The sequence below is a fragment of the Homo sapiens genome, chromosome 3 (genome assembly GCF_000001405.40).
Source record: "Homo sapiens chromosome 3, GRCh38.p14 Primary Assembly".
Classification (NCBI taxonomy): Eukaryota; Metazoa; Chordata; class Mammalia; order Primates; family Hominidae; genus Homo; species Homo sapiens.
This window is the reverse complement of record NC_000003.12, coordinates 55757868-55774587: the sequence shown is the minus strand read 5'-3', so window position 1 is coordinate 55774587 and position 16720 is coordinate 55757868. Positions and strand designations below refer to the sequence as shown.

General features: G+C 41.8%; 1 protein-coding gene across 20 annotated transcripts in view; it reads left to right on the top strand.

The window, feature by feature from the left end:
• The window catches only part of ERC2 (ELKS/RAB6-interacting/CAST family member 2), a 960157-nt gene that overhangs the window by 693880 nt on the left and 249557 nt on the right, over positions 1–16720 (top strand). The window lies entirely within an intron of this gene.

Here is a 16720-nt window from a genome sequence, read left to right as displayed (position 1 = left end):
AAACCTGCAGAATGAATACAAATGCCTCCTTTTGTAAACCAGGTCTTTGGGAAACCACTGGAACACCTAGAGAGCAGGACCCAGAGAACAAGACCAGGGAAACAGGAGAGCCAAGGAAAGGGGGAAGATTGCAGCATCATAACATTGATGGGAGACCACGAAGTCGGGGGGTCCCTGAGTGCTTTGTATCCTGCTCCAGGCAACAGCTCAGGGAAGTTCATTTCCCCAGTGTCTAAATGCACACACAGACTTGAGCTTGGGCTGCAGAATCCATCTTAGCTTGTTAGTTGAACCGATGTTGACATAATGCCTCACTGCCTGAGATCCCATGAGCTTTCTTCCCAACCCTGTTAGGTGGTCCTTGGACCACTAAGAACTATGTGGTTATGGCCCATTGTCTCCTCTTTCCCTTCAGTAAGGACCATGTTTTACCCAGTCTAGCCTGAGACTGAATGTATCCTATTAAAAGTGTGTGTTGAATGAGGGTGCTCCAGGTCTCAGAAGGCGGTGGGGTTAATTACTGCTCTGAGCTTAAGCAGGGCAGCCAGAAGGATGTTTTTCAAAAAGATTATGATTATGGGCCTTCTGGTTAGAATACTTTGGGCATCAGACAGGGGTAGCAACCCAAATTTGGGGAAGGAAGAGAATAAAATGACAAGAATCTCAAATTGGATAAGTATATACACAAAAGCCGCCTTCTTTCCCTCTATAATCTCTGTTCCTTTCAGTATATCCTGGGTGTTCAGTGAACCAAAAAATATACTTACAGTTTTTCTCTGTGCACTTGCAAGAAGGCGAGGATACTTCTAACCAAAATAGCCTTTCCCAGGAACACCTGTCAGCAATGATTTTTTTTAAAAAACAAATTGAAATGGAAGCACTGTGCCATATTCCATATTCATTGAATAACCATTGACTGGGGGCCTACTTTGTGCGCAGCACCATTCCGGATGGTGGGAACGAAACCAACATTCCTGCCTCATAGAGCTGATATTCTCAACAAGGGAGAAATAATAAGACAGGCAAGATGAGTATTAGCTTGTCTCATATGAAACTGGCATGTGGATAGGTCAAAAAGTTTAAAAATAGGAAATTGTGTATGATTTAACCTAGCATATGATATTTTGATAGTGATAAGTGTTAAAGAGAAAGATTTGAAGTCAGAAAAGGGAATCTGAAATGTTGGGATCACAAATTTTTAATTATGAAAAGACCTCATAGAGAAGGCAAGATTTGAACAAAGTTTGGAAGGAGTAAGGAAACCAGCCAAGTGCATGTCCGAGAGGGAAGAGCGCTCCAGGCAGAGGGCATGGCCAGTGCAAAGGCCCTAAGGTGGGACCAGCCAGGAAGCCTGTGTGATGGTTGGAGGATGAGTAGAAATAACGTTAGGCAAGTAATTAGGAGCCAGGTCACACGGGACTGATAGCCATTGGGATGACTTTGGCTTGGCTCTGAGAAAAATGCAGAGACCTTTGGGAAGGTTTTGAGCAGAGGAATCACTTGCTCCAATGTAACATTTTAACAGGATCCCTGGCTACTGTGTTGAGAAAAGAAGCAGGAGACCAGCTAGGAGGCCATTGCAATAATCCAGGCATGAGATGATGGCAAGCCCCACCAGGTCTTGGCAGTGGGGTGGTGCGTCATGGTCCACTTTGGACCTATTTTGAAGGTAGGGCCAACAGGAAATGCTGAAGGATTGGATGTGGGTACAGGGGCAGGGAGCAGGTTGTGGTGCTATTAATCTTGACACTAAAGTTTTGGGTCTGAGAAATGGGAAGAATAGAATTACCCTTAGCTAAGACAGGGTAACTACAGCAGGAGTTGCTTCAGGCCCAAGGGACCCTCTTCATCTTGGCAAATTTGACAATTCCAGCATGCTGGGCTCAGTGCTGATGAATATAAAAGCTTAGGGAGGGAAAGGATGGGTGATAACTTGAAATACTTTTTTCAAAAATTAACATAAAATAAAATAGGCCAGGCACAGTGGCTTACGCCTGTAATCCCAGCACTTTGGAAGGCCGAGGCAGGCGGATCACGAGGTCAGGAGATCGAGACCATCCTGGCTAACGCGGTGAAACCCCGTCTCTACTAAAAAATACAAAAAATTTAGCCAGGCGTGGTGGCGGGTGCCTGTAGTCCCAGGTACTCAGGGGGCTGAGGCAGGAGAATGGCATGAACCCGGGAGGCGGAGCTTGCAGTGAGCCGAGATCGCGCCACTGCACTCCAGCCTGGGCTACAGAGCGAGACTCCGTCTCAAAAAAAAAAAAGAATACAAAAAGTAGCCAGGCGTGGTGGTGCATGCCTGCAGTCCCAGCTACTTGGGAGGCTGAGACAGGAGAATTGCTTGAACCTGGGTGGCGGAAGTTGCAGTGAGCCAAGATCACACCACTGCACTCTAGCCTGGGTGACAGAGTGAGACTTTGTCTCAAAAATAAATTAATTAATAAAATAAATGGTAATTCTAAGAATAGGTATTAATGCCTTACTGTATGCCTAGAGTACCATACTAACCTTTGGGCATGGATTTTCTTATTTAATACTCACAACAGTCCTGATGGGCGGAGAGGCCCACAGACGTGAGGCCTTGGAGCCCAGATCCTTTATGAGTTGCTCCCAGGTCGCTGATGGATATTTCACCCCTCCAAGTGAGTGGTTGTTTGTGAAGGTTACAACTGGATAGGAGCAAAAGGTGAGACACAGTTGAGATTTCTGAGAAAACCCATAATTACAGACATCCTGTGTGCTCTGTGCAAAGGTTATTTCCCATTACAGGTGGAGAGCCTGCCTCCTCAGGCCTGCTGTGGGGCAGAGTGGGTACTGAAGAAGGCACAGTCTCATCAGGTGTGCAGGGTTAATTATCTCGCCTCAGTGCAATGGGAGCAAGAGTTACTGCTGTTTTGACAGATTGTGTTAATTGGAAGCCCAGTTTGATTAGGAGGCTCATGCTTTGTGCCTGCAGTCAGCCAGCCTAGTGGGGTTTATGCCTCAGCATTTCTGCTTATTTTCATCTTCTAATTTTTCCACCACGAACAAGTCACAAGAGAGGTTAAGAGCATGGGATTTGGAGATAAACAGACCTGGGTTCAAGTCCTAGCTTTACTTCTTACTAACTTTTGTCTAACTCTGGGCTCCCAGACTCAGTTTCCCCTTCTGTGCAATGGTAGCAGGGTGGACGTGAAGACTCAGTGAGATAATGCACATAAGGTACCTAGTACCTAGCACAATCGATGTTGCTAATGTCATTCTCCATTTTATCTTTAAGGTAAATCAGGATAATTTGTAATCTGAATGATCTATATTGAATCAAGTATTAAAAAACCAACAGTTGGTGGGAGTGTAAATGAGTTCAACCATTGTGGAAGACAGTGTGGTGATTCCTCAAGGATCTAGAACCAGAAATACCATTTGACCCAGCAATCCCATTACTGGGTATATACCCAAAGGATTAGAAATCATTCTACTATAAAGACACATACACACGTATGTTTATTGCAGCACTATTTACAATAGCAAAGACTTGGAACCAACCCAAATGCCCATCAATGATAGACTGGATAAAGAAAATGTGGCACATATACACCATAGAATGCTATACAGCCATAAAAAACAATGAGTTCATGTCCTTGGCAGGGGCATGGATGAAGCTAGAAACCATCATTCTCAGCAAACTAACACAGGAACAGAAAACCAAACACCGCATGTTCTCACTCATAGGTGGGAGTTGAACAATGAGAACACATGGACACAGGGAGGGGAACATCACACAATGGGGCCTGTCAGGGGTGGGGGGCAAGGGGAGGGAGAGCATTAGGAGAAATACCTAATATAGATAACGAGTTGAGGGGTGCAGCAAACCACCATGGCACATGTGTACCTATGTAACAAACCTGCACATGTGTACCTATGTAACAAACCTGCACATTCTGCACATGTATCCCAGAACTTAAAGTATAATTTAAAAAAATTAAAAAATTAAAAACCAACAGTTTAACAGTGATGATAAATTGCAACCAACTCTTAGATTCAGAGTTGGAAAGATGGTAGGAAATAGTGAGGGCTGGAGAGCATCTGCCCATCAAAGGGGGAAGGGGGCACTCACTCCTCTGTTCCAGTTGATTTCTGTCATGCAGGAATACAGCTCTGATGTTACCAATTCTTCCAATTGTTAGAGAAAGCCTCAAACTGGGATTTTTTAATATTTTGGCAACCGACTAAAAAAATAAATTTTTAAAATTCCATGCAAGTCAAACACAATGTTCCTATGGTTCTGATGTGGCCTGGAGGCTGCAAGTTTATAAGCTATATTAGTGGGCTTTGGAGGATAACAAGTGACCCCTACAGCTCAGTGGTTGCATGTCAGCCATGGGTCACTGGGGTCTGTGCTTGTGCTCTACATGTCACCATCACTCTAGGATCCAGGATGAGGTAGCAGCCTCTGTTTGGGATATGCCATTCTCCTGGCAGAGAAAAAAGAGTTAGAAGAAGCATACAATGGCTCTTAAAGTGTCTGCTTGCAGTTTGCACGCATTACTTTCTCTTATATCCCATTCGTCAAGGCAGATCACATGGCCAAGCCTGACGATGGGGCAAGGAAGTGTACTTTTCCTACAGGAAGGCCTGCAAATCACCTGGCAAAGGGAGGGGATGTTGGCTGCTATTAGAGGGAAGCAGGGAGCAAATAATTGTGAATGACAACATGATCTGCCACAAGAACCTTCTGCCATATCCCCCTCCTTCCATTCACTTGCCTTTCCAGAGTTTTATTTAGCTGTTTTCAGAGTTATTTTCCAAAACCTGGAGTGAAGTGTTTTTAGATTTCCTTAAGATGAAGTGTGACACTCTGTGGCTTGTGGATGAATACCGTCTTTTATGGCACTCAGATATAGTAACCAATATGTAATGTATATTGGTTACTATACATTAGATTGAACCCAATGAAATTGCTGATATTCAACTTTTTTTATCTGAAAAGATAGAAATTTCTAATTGTTCAACCAAATATATTTATAATTTTTATCCCCTGAGAACTGAAGAATTCATTATCTAACATCGTCTGACAATATCCTGCATTCTCAACCTGCAAACCTTTGCATCCTCTGCTTGTATATACCTTTTCTACCTTCTGCCCAACCCAGACAGAGACCCTGTGATGTTCCCCCTAAGATGTGCTCAGAAATAGGTTCAGCAAGGAGGGAAAAGAGGCCATCCCTGAAGAATGTAAAACTACTGGAGAAGAACCTGGTGTGCCCCAGAGCTCTTAATCCAGGCTGGTTCACTATCAGCTCCCAAACTGCCCCCAAATAAATGTTGAATGACTTGACCTCATCAGCAGTGATGATAACCACTTAGGTCTAAAAAGACAGACTTCTTTAATGTTAAGAGGGCAAGTCTTAGGTAAATGAAAATCAGAGTCATTCATTTGGTATATATTTACCAGCCACCTTTGTATGCTGGAGCCTTCGGAGGCCTCCAAGCGAGATAGCAGTGAACCAGGCAGACAGGCTCACTGTGATCCTAACACTCATCCCAGTTCATCATAGATGTTAAAATTTCAGAGCCAAAGGGACCTTAGAGCCCATGCAATCCAATGTCTCATTTTACAGATGAGGACACTGTGGTACTGATTTTTCTCCCGTCCTAAGATCTATCCACACAGTGGCCACAGGGATAATCTTAGGGTATGAGTTTGATCATGTCTGTTCCCTCTATTGCATGCTCAGAGGCAAAAATAATATTAAAACATAAAACTAAAGTAAAACCCAACCCCCAACTAGGGTGTGTAACCTGCTGCTGCCCGCTGCCTACTCCCCAAACCCATCTGATGTCACCTTCTTCTGTCTTCCTAAGCTCCGGCCCCATTGGCTTGCTTCTTCTAAGCTCATACTTGCCTCACAGCGTTTACACTTAGCGTTCTCCCATCTGGTCTGCACTTCCTTGTGATCTTCCCCTAGCTGGCCCCATGTCCTCCATCCCTCAGGGCTCAGTTCAAACATCTCCTTCACAGGAAGGCCTAGCTAAAGTATACCCTCTCCCCTGTAACTCTTTGTCCCTTTATTCCTTTAGATTGTCTTTATCTGAAGTTTCATTTTTTTACTTGTTTATTGTTCTTCTCTCTTATGACACTTTGAATTTCAGGAAGGCAAAACCTAGTCCTTTGTGTTCACCACTGTATCCCCATCACAAAGCACAGTGCCTATTACAGAGTTGGTGATCATTAAGTAGTTCTTGAGTGGAAGAATGAGCGATGGATGTGAAGGCACTGACTTATGGATTCCCAGATAGTGCTTTATTCCAGGATTGATGTTCTGATTTGCAAACCAGCCTTCTTTCTTCTTTCCATCTGTATTAGTCCATTCTCACATTGCTATAAACAAATACCTAAAACTAGGTAATTTATACAGAAAAGAGGTTTAATTGGCTCATGGTTTTGCAGGCTGTACCAGAAGCATGGCTGGGGAGACCTCAGGAAACTTACAATCATAGTAGAAGGTGAAGGGGAAGTAGGCACATCTTACATGGCCAGAAAAAGGAGGAAGAGAGTGGAGAAGGAGGTGCTACACACTTTTAAACAACCAGATCTTGTGAGAACTCACTATTATGAGAACAGCAAAGGGGAAATCTGCCCCCATGATCCAATCGCCTCCCACCAGGCCCCTCCTCCAACACTGGGGAGTACAGTTTGACATGAGATTTGGGCAGGGACACAAATCCAAACCATATCACCATCCTACATTTGGTACTCAGTAGACCCCCAAATGTTTGTTGAATAAGTAACGAGAACGTTCATAGCTTAACTTGAACATAGGGCCAACACTTCATTTTTCATGTCTACATCAGACATCACTCATTCACATCAGTTATTTGTTGTTCATCCCTGATGCCCTTTAGTGTACTCCCGGAGAACATCACCTACAGAGCAGAGCTGGCAGGAGGGTCTCTGTGCCATCTCTAGTTTAAGCTGAGTCTTGATCTACCTGGGCATGTCTGATTAGGCGGGCTTCTTAGAGGTCTATACGCATGAAGGACCACCTTGCCTCCTGGGAATTAAAGCACCTTAGGGAAACTGGGTTGAGAGAGAAGGAGTAACTCCGAGTGGAGCTGGGCGTCTGTCCACAGAGGGGTTTCTGTTTTACTTCCCTCATACTTGGCCTGAAAGCAAAGGGCCCACAGTTAAGACGGCCAGTGGAAACTGAATAGGTGGCCTTGCCGAAGCCTCTGGGGTCTTTGAGAACATCTGAAACATGCCACTTTGGAGCTGGCAGATATGTTAGCAATGGAAAAAAGTAGTAGTGACTTGGAAGCTGGCACCCTTGGCAAAAACCTAAGCCCGCTGAGCAATTTACATTTTATAAGCACTGCATGCTAACTAATTATGCCACTGGAACACTAAAGTTACATTTTATCTGCATGACTAGTGAATTAGCACCTCTCCAACTGGTATCAGCACCTCCCTGCCATTTAAGTCATAAATCCATGAATGCAGCAAGACCTTTGCCTAGTTTTGTTCACCATTTTATCACTGATGCCCGTTACAGGACCTGGCACACAGTAAGCACTCAATAAATATTTGTTAGTTGAATGAATTAGGCTTCTCTAACCCCCAAGTTGATATGACCTGGGAAACACAGGTGGCAGGAAGAACATGATAAGAGGGAAGATAAACTAGGTAGCATGGGAAATCAGGCAAGTAATCACCCTCAGGATTCCTGTTCCAGGAAGTGGAGGTGTGAAGGTGAAGGAGGAATGCAATGTGACTTTTGGCAGCTCTTTTTTCTCAGACATTTGGGCTTTCAGAGAAGGTGAATTCTGGGTTATAGTCCTAGAGCTGTGTCCATAACTGCATCTCAGTGTTCCTGGTGTCTTCAAGATTGCCAGCCCTTCCCAACCTGTGCCAGACATAAGAGGTGGGGCCAGAGGGTGAGTGCCCCCTACTAGATACCCTCCTTTTTGGGTCTTCAGTCTATCCCACAAGCTCCACTCACCCTCTTCCCCCATCATTATTTTAGGGGTGAGCTCCGGTCTGGTTTCTTCTACATCTACCTGAAATGCCAAACCTGCCCAGTCTCCTTGGGTCATTTCCAAGGCTGGGCAGGAAAGCTTGCATACTGTTGTTGGATTCAATTAGAATCACTCTCTGGGAGGCGGAGGTTGCAGTGAGCTGAGATTGCGCCATTGTACTCCAGCCTGGGCGACAGAGCGAGACTCCATCTAAAAAATAAATAAATAAAATAAAAATAATAAATCACCTACAAACTGATACGTCTATTCCCCTATTATTTTGTTTGGGTCCTTGATCCTTTTTTTTTTTTTTTTTCTTGTGGAGAGAACCAAGAGTTGTGTTCTAGCCTTTAAATGGGGGCAGATGCCCCCTCTCCAAATGGGCAGCTTTCCTTCTGTTGCCAGCCCTTGGCCACAGCAGGTTTTGGCGATCTGCTGGCATTTAGTGCTTCTGTGTGTGGCCTGGGCTTTGAATTCAGCTGCTCCTCCTGGCAGCCTTGGTAGCTTCACACAGTTCTCTTAGTGTCCTGGGACTTGGCCCAGGCATACCCTACAGGGGTTCTGAGCCTCAGCAGATTCTTCCCCCAATTTGGAGTACAGTATCCTTGAGCCATGTTTAAAAGACTTCTCTTTAAAAGACTGCACCCTACTCTACTGCCCTCTCACTCTCATTCTATTAGGATTTCTTTTTTTCTTTTGAGACTGAAGAAGAATAAAACAGACAGTGAGATCACGTAATCATTTTATTCAGCAAAATGCAGGAAAGCCAAACTCACCTGAGCAGGCAGGGAATAGAGACGTTACAGACGTGGACAAGATTTCCTCAGGTTTTTAGTCTGGTCTGCGGTCCATCTTTAAAGATAAACTTTGCAGTGTTTCGTATTAATATCGTATCTGCATGATGTAATAGCCCCAGTAACAGCTGCTCCCTCAACCTCAGGGAAAAAAGCCTCAAGTAACGACCCACTCAACTCTCTGAAGCATGTTCCCTCTGTTGAGGATACCTCTGCCAGTTTGGATTGTCTAAAAATGTTCATTTTGAGTCATTAGGGCAGAAAGCCATAACAATAGTTGCACATGCTACGTCATTGGGTGGAATACAATAGCTCTCTTAGACCCTGGGAAAGATTGATTGCTGCACTTATCTCTAGATTAAGTATGAATTTGGGGACCCTTTAGGATCAGCCTTTGCAGAGCCATTACTTGTTTGAACGAGCACCAATGGCTGGAGATGGATGGGCAATTTAATCTGCCAAGAAAAGTAGACTTCAGATCATTCTTGGGTCTTGGAGAGAAAAAAGTCTCCTTTTATTCAAGTAGGTAATGTAGATAATTGCATGTATTTTGCATAATTTGATTTATGAGGATATTACAGTCACATATGGGCCCTGGTCTGAATTCTCTATCTTAGGAATGCCAGTTTTATTCAGTCAAAAAATAAATAAATGAAAAGAAAGAAATAGATCATGTGGACTTGTAGGAGACTCAGTTTTGACCTATTTTTCTGACATTGGAAGACAAGAAGCGATCTCCTGTTGGATTAAAACTAATCTCTTAGAAATTGTTCTAATAGGTGACTCTTGAAATTGATAAAGTTTGGCACAGAGTTGAAGAGCTGTATAATTTGGCAGCTGAAATCTCACCCTATGTATTGCCAAAAAAAGAAGAAAATCCCCACCAAAAATGAGCCTCACCACTGCATATTCTGTTGTTTGCCCGTAGTCACATTAGGCTACATGCAATGGAGGTGAACGTTCTCATTTAAGAAACAGGTGAAAGGAGGCCCCATGTCTCTATATTTAGCCTCTAGATTTCCTTGAGTGTCAGTTGGTCTCATGAATTCTTGGGAGGTATAAGAGTAAATACAAGTGGGGATTCATTCAACAATTGTCAAATGTCTTAAGGATGCATAGAAAACTATCAGAAAACCCTATTTGTTTAGAAGTTGTTAATTCAGACTTTAAGATCCTACGACCTAAGCAGAATTTTGCTTTTTCTCTGTCTGGAAAAGGAAGATTTGATGAGCAAAATAAGAGCACAGCCAAAGCCATAAGTATCTCCTTCATTTGTGTAGTCATTCAGCCAACACCTAACTGAGGGCTTAGCAATTGCCAGGATCTGGGCTGGGGACTGGGGACTGGGATTGACACAGGCCCTGTGTGCACAGTCCAAGGTAAAAGATCCCGTTAGTAAGTAAATGCGATGCAAGTGTTGCAGCAGGTGTGACAGAAGCCAGTTCTAAGAGGAGGAGAGAATGGCCTATGCTCACCTGGAAGCAAAAATTGCCTAAGAAGAAAATGGTTTAAAAATGGGGCAAGTAATTGCAAATGTGCTTTTCATCTGTTATGGCTGTTGCAGAGAAATAATTTAAGTTAAAATTGTCCATCTTCAGAGAGATAAACACTTTTTTAAAATTTGGAGAGCACTGCAGAACTCTTGTAGCTGAACAGTGCACCCCAGGCTGTATCCATAAAAAGAAAAATTGCAAAACCTTATTCTGAACTAAATACAGAAACGCAAACAGTGGAAGTATTTCTGAGAATGTTAATATTTGGGAACTTGTTTGGGGGACTTTAAAACATTGAAAAGGGTAGGTCTGCATGAGAGTTAGTGAATGCACTAAAATAATATTCATAAAAATACGTCGTGAGAAGCCAACATTTATTTTAAAAAGAGGCATAAAATATCTGTAATATTGTGCTTTATTTTATTAGGTACTATTATATAGGGAAAATCCATAATTTTTAGAAACAGACTGACATATTTAGGGGTGGAATGTCTTGATGTCCAACTTTAAAAATACTTCAGAAATAAAAGGTGAGAAAATATGACACATTTATTAAATTTTCGTAATGGGCTTGTGGGCATTCATTATATGCTTCTCCTTTTCTGTATATTTGAAAATGTCCACAATTTAAAGTCAGAAAGTCTGTGTCTATACTATTTACTGAATAACTTCTATGTGCTGGACAGTTATACTTGGTACTCATTTCTAAATTTCACAACAACCCTGCAAAATCAGTAACTATCCCCCTTTAAAGATGGCAGAACTGAAGCTCAGGGTCACCAGTTGGCAGGAGTCAGAGTCCCTCTCTGAATCTGGATTTGTTTAATGCAAGACACACCCGATGCATCTATCTCACCAATGCAACCTCCTCTCTAGAGCAGGAATTTTCTTCATAGTCTCACTCAAGATGGCCATTTGCTTCCTTGTTGGAAAATTCTGTGAATGGGCAGCATTCTAGCAATACTAGACATCTGTTCCATAAGTTAAGCCACATTCCACCTCTCTAAAATCAATACTATTTAATAATTAGTTTAAACGCTTTCATGTCTCATCACCATCGCTGGGAGACAATTAATTCTTCCTCTGGTCCAACTGTGTAACCACATTGAACTTGTCATTGTTCCTGCCACATGCCAAGCTCTATGCTTTGAGCATTTGCCAGTGCTTTCCTATCTGCCTACAGGCTGCCTCTCACCCTTTTCTTCTAGACCAAATCCAAGTCATTCCTCAAGTCCCCAATAATGCCATTTTCTTAGGAATCTCTTTCTTGATTCTCTGTTTAATTATGTATTTAACCTCTATCATTCCAACTAGATTGTAATGTACATGTGGGGCCAGGCTTTCACCTACCTACTTAGTATGTGTTCTGTAGACAGTTGTTAAGTTGAACTGAACTGGACAGTGGTTCTGTCATCTTGAGCTATGTGAAATAATTCAGGTCCTTGCAAACTATATGGAGTAAGTTAGGTCTCTCCTCCACACAATCAAATATTCAGCCATTCTTCCTTGCGTCTCTCTTTTGTAGGCTTTTCTTCCTTGAATAAATATCCCCAGTTTGACTCTGCTTTTTTGCCGTATTTGTGATACAGGTTACCCATCTGAGTGCATGGGTCTGTCAGTAAGACTGAGCCACACTGCCTTCAAGTTGCAATTCAGCCAAGGTCTGGGTCCCTTCGTTTCTTCTACCAGCTTTGGCCAAGGGTTTGCTTGACCCAACTAACTAGCTTACAATATGTATTACCTTTAATATTACTTTTTAAAAAAAATAAAAATAAGGACCCTCCTGACCTGGGTGGGAGATCCTTGAAGGCAGGCACAAAGTCTCATTCATTTGTGTGTCTGTTGTGGTATGATATTGGAACACACATGTGTCAAATATTGATTTTCAGTGGCTTCAATATCAGGTGCATTGCAGTGTCAGAAACATTTTCCTAGGCAAGGTAGCAGACAGGAAGACCCAGGAATTGTGGCCAGGCAGTGGTGAAAATTTACCCTATTTGTCCAAATGAAAGAAAATGCTCCCTTCAAATGTTTAGAATAGTCCATCCTTACATTAAATCCGATTATTTAACTCAGTGTAGGCTTTATTTTGACCTTTGACATGAGTCAGGAAAGTATGGCCCATGGGCCAACTCCTATCTTCGTGTATTAGTCTGTTTTCACACTGCTATAAAGAACTACCTGAGACTGGGTAATTTATAAGGAAAGAGGTTTAATTGACTCACAGTTCCACATGGCTGGGAAGCCCTCAGGAAACTTAAAATTATGGCAGAAGGTGAAGGGAAAGCAAGGCACATCCTACATGGTGGCAGGAGAGAGAGAGAGAGGAAGGGAGGGAGGGAGGGGGAGAGAGAGAGGAAGGGAGGGAGGGAGGGGGGCAGAGAGAGAGAGAAAAGAAAGCCACATACTTTTTTTTTTTTTTTTTTTGAGACGGAGTCTCGCTCCTTCGCCCAGGCCAGAGTGCAGTGGTGCTATCTCGGCTCACTGCAAGCTCCAACTCTCGGGTTCATGCCATTCTCCTGCCTCAGCCTCCCGAGTAGCTGGGACTACAGGCGCCCGCCACAAAACCACCAGATTTGTGAAAACTCACTCACTACCATGTGTCCCTCATGATCCAATCACCCCTCACCAGGTCCCTCCCTGGGGATTACAATTATATAGATGAGATTTGGGTGGGGACACATTGCCAAACCATATCACCTCATCTGTCATCTGTTTTTGTAAATAAAGTTTCATTAGGACACAGCCACATGCATTTGTTTATGTGCTGTCATGGCTGCTTTCACGCTACAACAGCGGAGTCAAGTAGCTGCAACAGAAAACCCATGGCCTATAAATAGGGTTGCCAGATAACACATGGAAAGCCTGAGATAAAACTAAGAAAAAAAAAAACCAGATAAACAGCGAATACATTTTTAGTATAAGCACATCTCAAATATTGAGCAGGACACACTTGTATTAAAAGAAAATATTTACTGTTTATCTGAAATTGAAATGTAACTGAACTCCTGTATTTTTATTTGCATAAATGAAACAACTGTACATGTAAAGCTTAAAATGTTTACTCTCTGGCCTTTTATAGAAAGTTTGCTGGGACCTGAGCTCCAGTAGTAATAACAATGATGATGGTAGGAATAGCAAGGAATAAGACTAAACATCATAACGGCAGCCACTCTCCTTTCGTTTGTATTATCAGTGTCAATGCATTGTATTATTTGATCCTCAAAGCATCTGTCTTAATGTTGACACAGGCTCTGCATCACAGAATGAACAAGTGGTGATGCTTAAGAGGACATCTCTGTGTCTTCATTTGGCACATCCCAATCTACCCTGGGCCCACCTACTCTTTTCAGAGGGAGATTTGCATCTTACCATTTTCTTTTTCCACAGGTTTATGTCATGCCCTTTAGGCTCTCCTATTCTAGAAACAAATCAAGGCACCCCTGACCCACTAACATTTGCCGTATTTCATTTCTTGGTTAACTGACTCCATATGCTTATTATATGTGTCAAAAAGTATATTATTTCTGGATTATTTTATCTGAGCGTTATTTGTACATGGCGTGTTCACGTGCACTGAACCACCTCCATGCAGACTAGCAGAGACACCCCGTGGAAAGCCAGATTCAGTGATAAGTGAGCATTTAGTTGGGATGTCCTCAGGGTGATCTTCTGACTTTCTCTACTGTTGTGATCCAGTCATCTCTTGGCAAAGCAACATATTAATTGTACATTATAGTTCAGCCATCTTTCTCACCAATGTATATGTGAAAATTCTTTAATAATGCATTAAACAGCAACTGGAATATGTAACTAATTTTTACTACTTAGTCTATTTCAAGTGTTTCTGAACTAAAGTGAAGGAATACTTCTGCCTCTATATGCAGCAAATATCAAAGAGCTGACCCATGTAACTATTACAAAAAAAAATATCACGGAGGTAGGGTCTTCAAGGTGCTCCTAATCAATTTTTCACAACCTCACTAAAGTATTTGCTTACATTACAGACAGTAGACGATTACATTTAAGGAAGAAGGGGATGGGAAGATAAAATGGCTTCAGAATGTGTTTCTGAAGAATCCAGTTTGCTCCTTGACTATAGGCAGTGGGAAGCACATTAATTTACCTGTGATATTACAGGTTCTTTGATGTCAATGTGTTACTCTGTCCGTGCTGTGAATTTGCCTTTTTCAGCCATTAGAAAAGTACGAGACTGAAACCTACGGTCTGTTTTCATGTGATAACCTTGACACTGGCTACTGTTTGGTAGGGGGTTTATGTCACGGAGGGGTGCTGACACTCTGTAAGTAAAAAAGGTTAAGCCCAATAGCAAAGTGTGTATTATGAAAAGTCCAGTGTTGGAATTTACTAACTTTTAAGGAAACTTCAACCAAAATGCTAAAACTTCACAAGTACAAAGAAGAGCTCGTTAAGCACAATTTAATTACTCATGTGTGTAAAAATCTACTTCATGTAAGTTTAAGTGCCCTGCTCTTCAAAATCAACCATAAAACTTGAAAGTGTCAGTCATTCAGATAATTGGAAACATATAAATTTAAGGAATGTGCAGCTGTAAAATTAACTACTGGACTCATTTGAAAGACTAGATTTACTAAAGGTAAAACCTGCTGTTTTCCAAAACCCTTTTTTCCTCCATGATTATGTTGCAAGGGAAGAAAAAAACAATCTTCATCATACTTCAGTGAATTTTAATGTTACATTTTTTTGTTGTTGTTTAGTCTTTCGTCCTTGAATATTGAGAATGGAAACTACCATGTTTATCATACTTATTTTGACCTTAACCTTTTTTTTTTTTTTTTTTTTTTTTTTTTTTTTTTTTAATGAAAGAGACTTAAAACGTCCCAGCTGGTCTGACTCCCAGAGAGGGGGAGGAGACAATAGCGAACACTTCTTCCTGTGCAAATGTGGAGAAGATGAAGTGAAACCCGAGTGATTTAAGTGAACTGTGGAGCAGTCATATTATTGTATTTGCGAAGAATCTAGAAAGCTGTTTTTTAAAATTGTAAGATGATTGTAATTTTCAAAATGACAAGAAGAAATGCACAGCAATACACCAATTCAGGGATTGTCTGTTTCCTTTAGAATACCATTTGCAATGTGCTTTAATTTATGCTCTGTTGGATTGGTACAAAAGGAGGAATTTTACAGATAGGTAAACTGGGGGAGGCTGAAATGTCATAAAACAGAGTTGCTTCTGAAGTTTGGCTTAATTGTCAAGGAGTAAAAATTTATTCCAAATTAAAATTCCTCTGCAAAGAACTAAAAATATCAAGAATTAGTCAGAGTCTGTAATCTAAAAAGAAAAAGGAAAAACCACCTTATCTGGTGGAATTTAGCGGTTAACCCTCACCTTAGCAATCCAAGTGTTTTGAATTCCCAAAATGGACTCTCTTTTAATATGCTTAAGCCTTATTTGTTGGTAGAGATCTTACTGAAGACTGTATTTGATCCATTCACCTTCATTGACATAAACCCACCATAACCTTCTTGGAAAACGTTACGCAGTTTGAGCTTTTTGCAGGGAGTTGGTTTGGCTTTTAATGTGTAATAAGAAGAGGGGAAAGATCCCATATCCACACTTCCTTATATTAAATGGCTGGATTTTTTTGGCTACAGATATGACCCACCTTGTCTGAACGCCAGCCCTTGGCGTGTAGGCTAGCGATGTCCTAGGAGACAAGGAAATCTAAGTTAGAAAGTTGTCAAATGGGGACAGGCATCTGTAAAAGTTAGAACACTGCCAAAGATAGGGCCACTGGGAGGCTCTGCAGGATGGCAGCAAGCCCTCCTCCTCATTGGTCTGCCCCTCACCTTTGGTGATACCCGTCAGAGAAGAAGTGGTTCTGAGAAGGATGAACTTCTGGAAAAGCGTGAAATGAGAAGAGGCAGAGTTTGGGGGATCTTCCTCAGTATGAGTGGGGTGGCTGTGGTGTGCATAGTTTGGAGTTGGGGAACCCAAGTCTCATGATTCGGCTTAGCCCATTTCAGAGTCCTAGACTACCTCAGTCACAGGTTCCAGTCCCTCCATCCTTTGGAAATTAATAATTTCGTAGATACAGCTTTTTGCACAAAAGATTTTTAGATGAAATATGAGCTCTGCCTCTTCTTCATGGACTTAGAACAATCCATGTTATTTTTGGGGAGAATAGCAGATTATTGGAATCACCTGGCACAATTCACAAAATTGCTGGGAAATATTGGATAGCTGTGAATTTTTTTTAAGTCATTAATATTTCAGTCACTCTGATAGTCATCAGATGTAATTCTCTCCAGATGAAAAAATGGGCTCTATCGTTATTTGAATACAAAAAATAAGAACTCAGAGGTATAAATGTATATATATATATGATATTTATCTTGATTTGATAGAATTTTTTTTCCAAGAGGAATATTATCTGAGCCTCAAATACAATT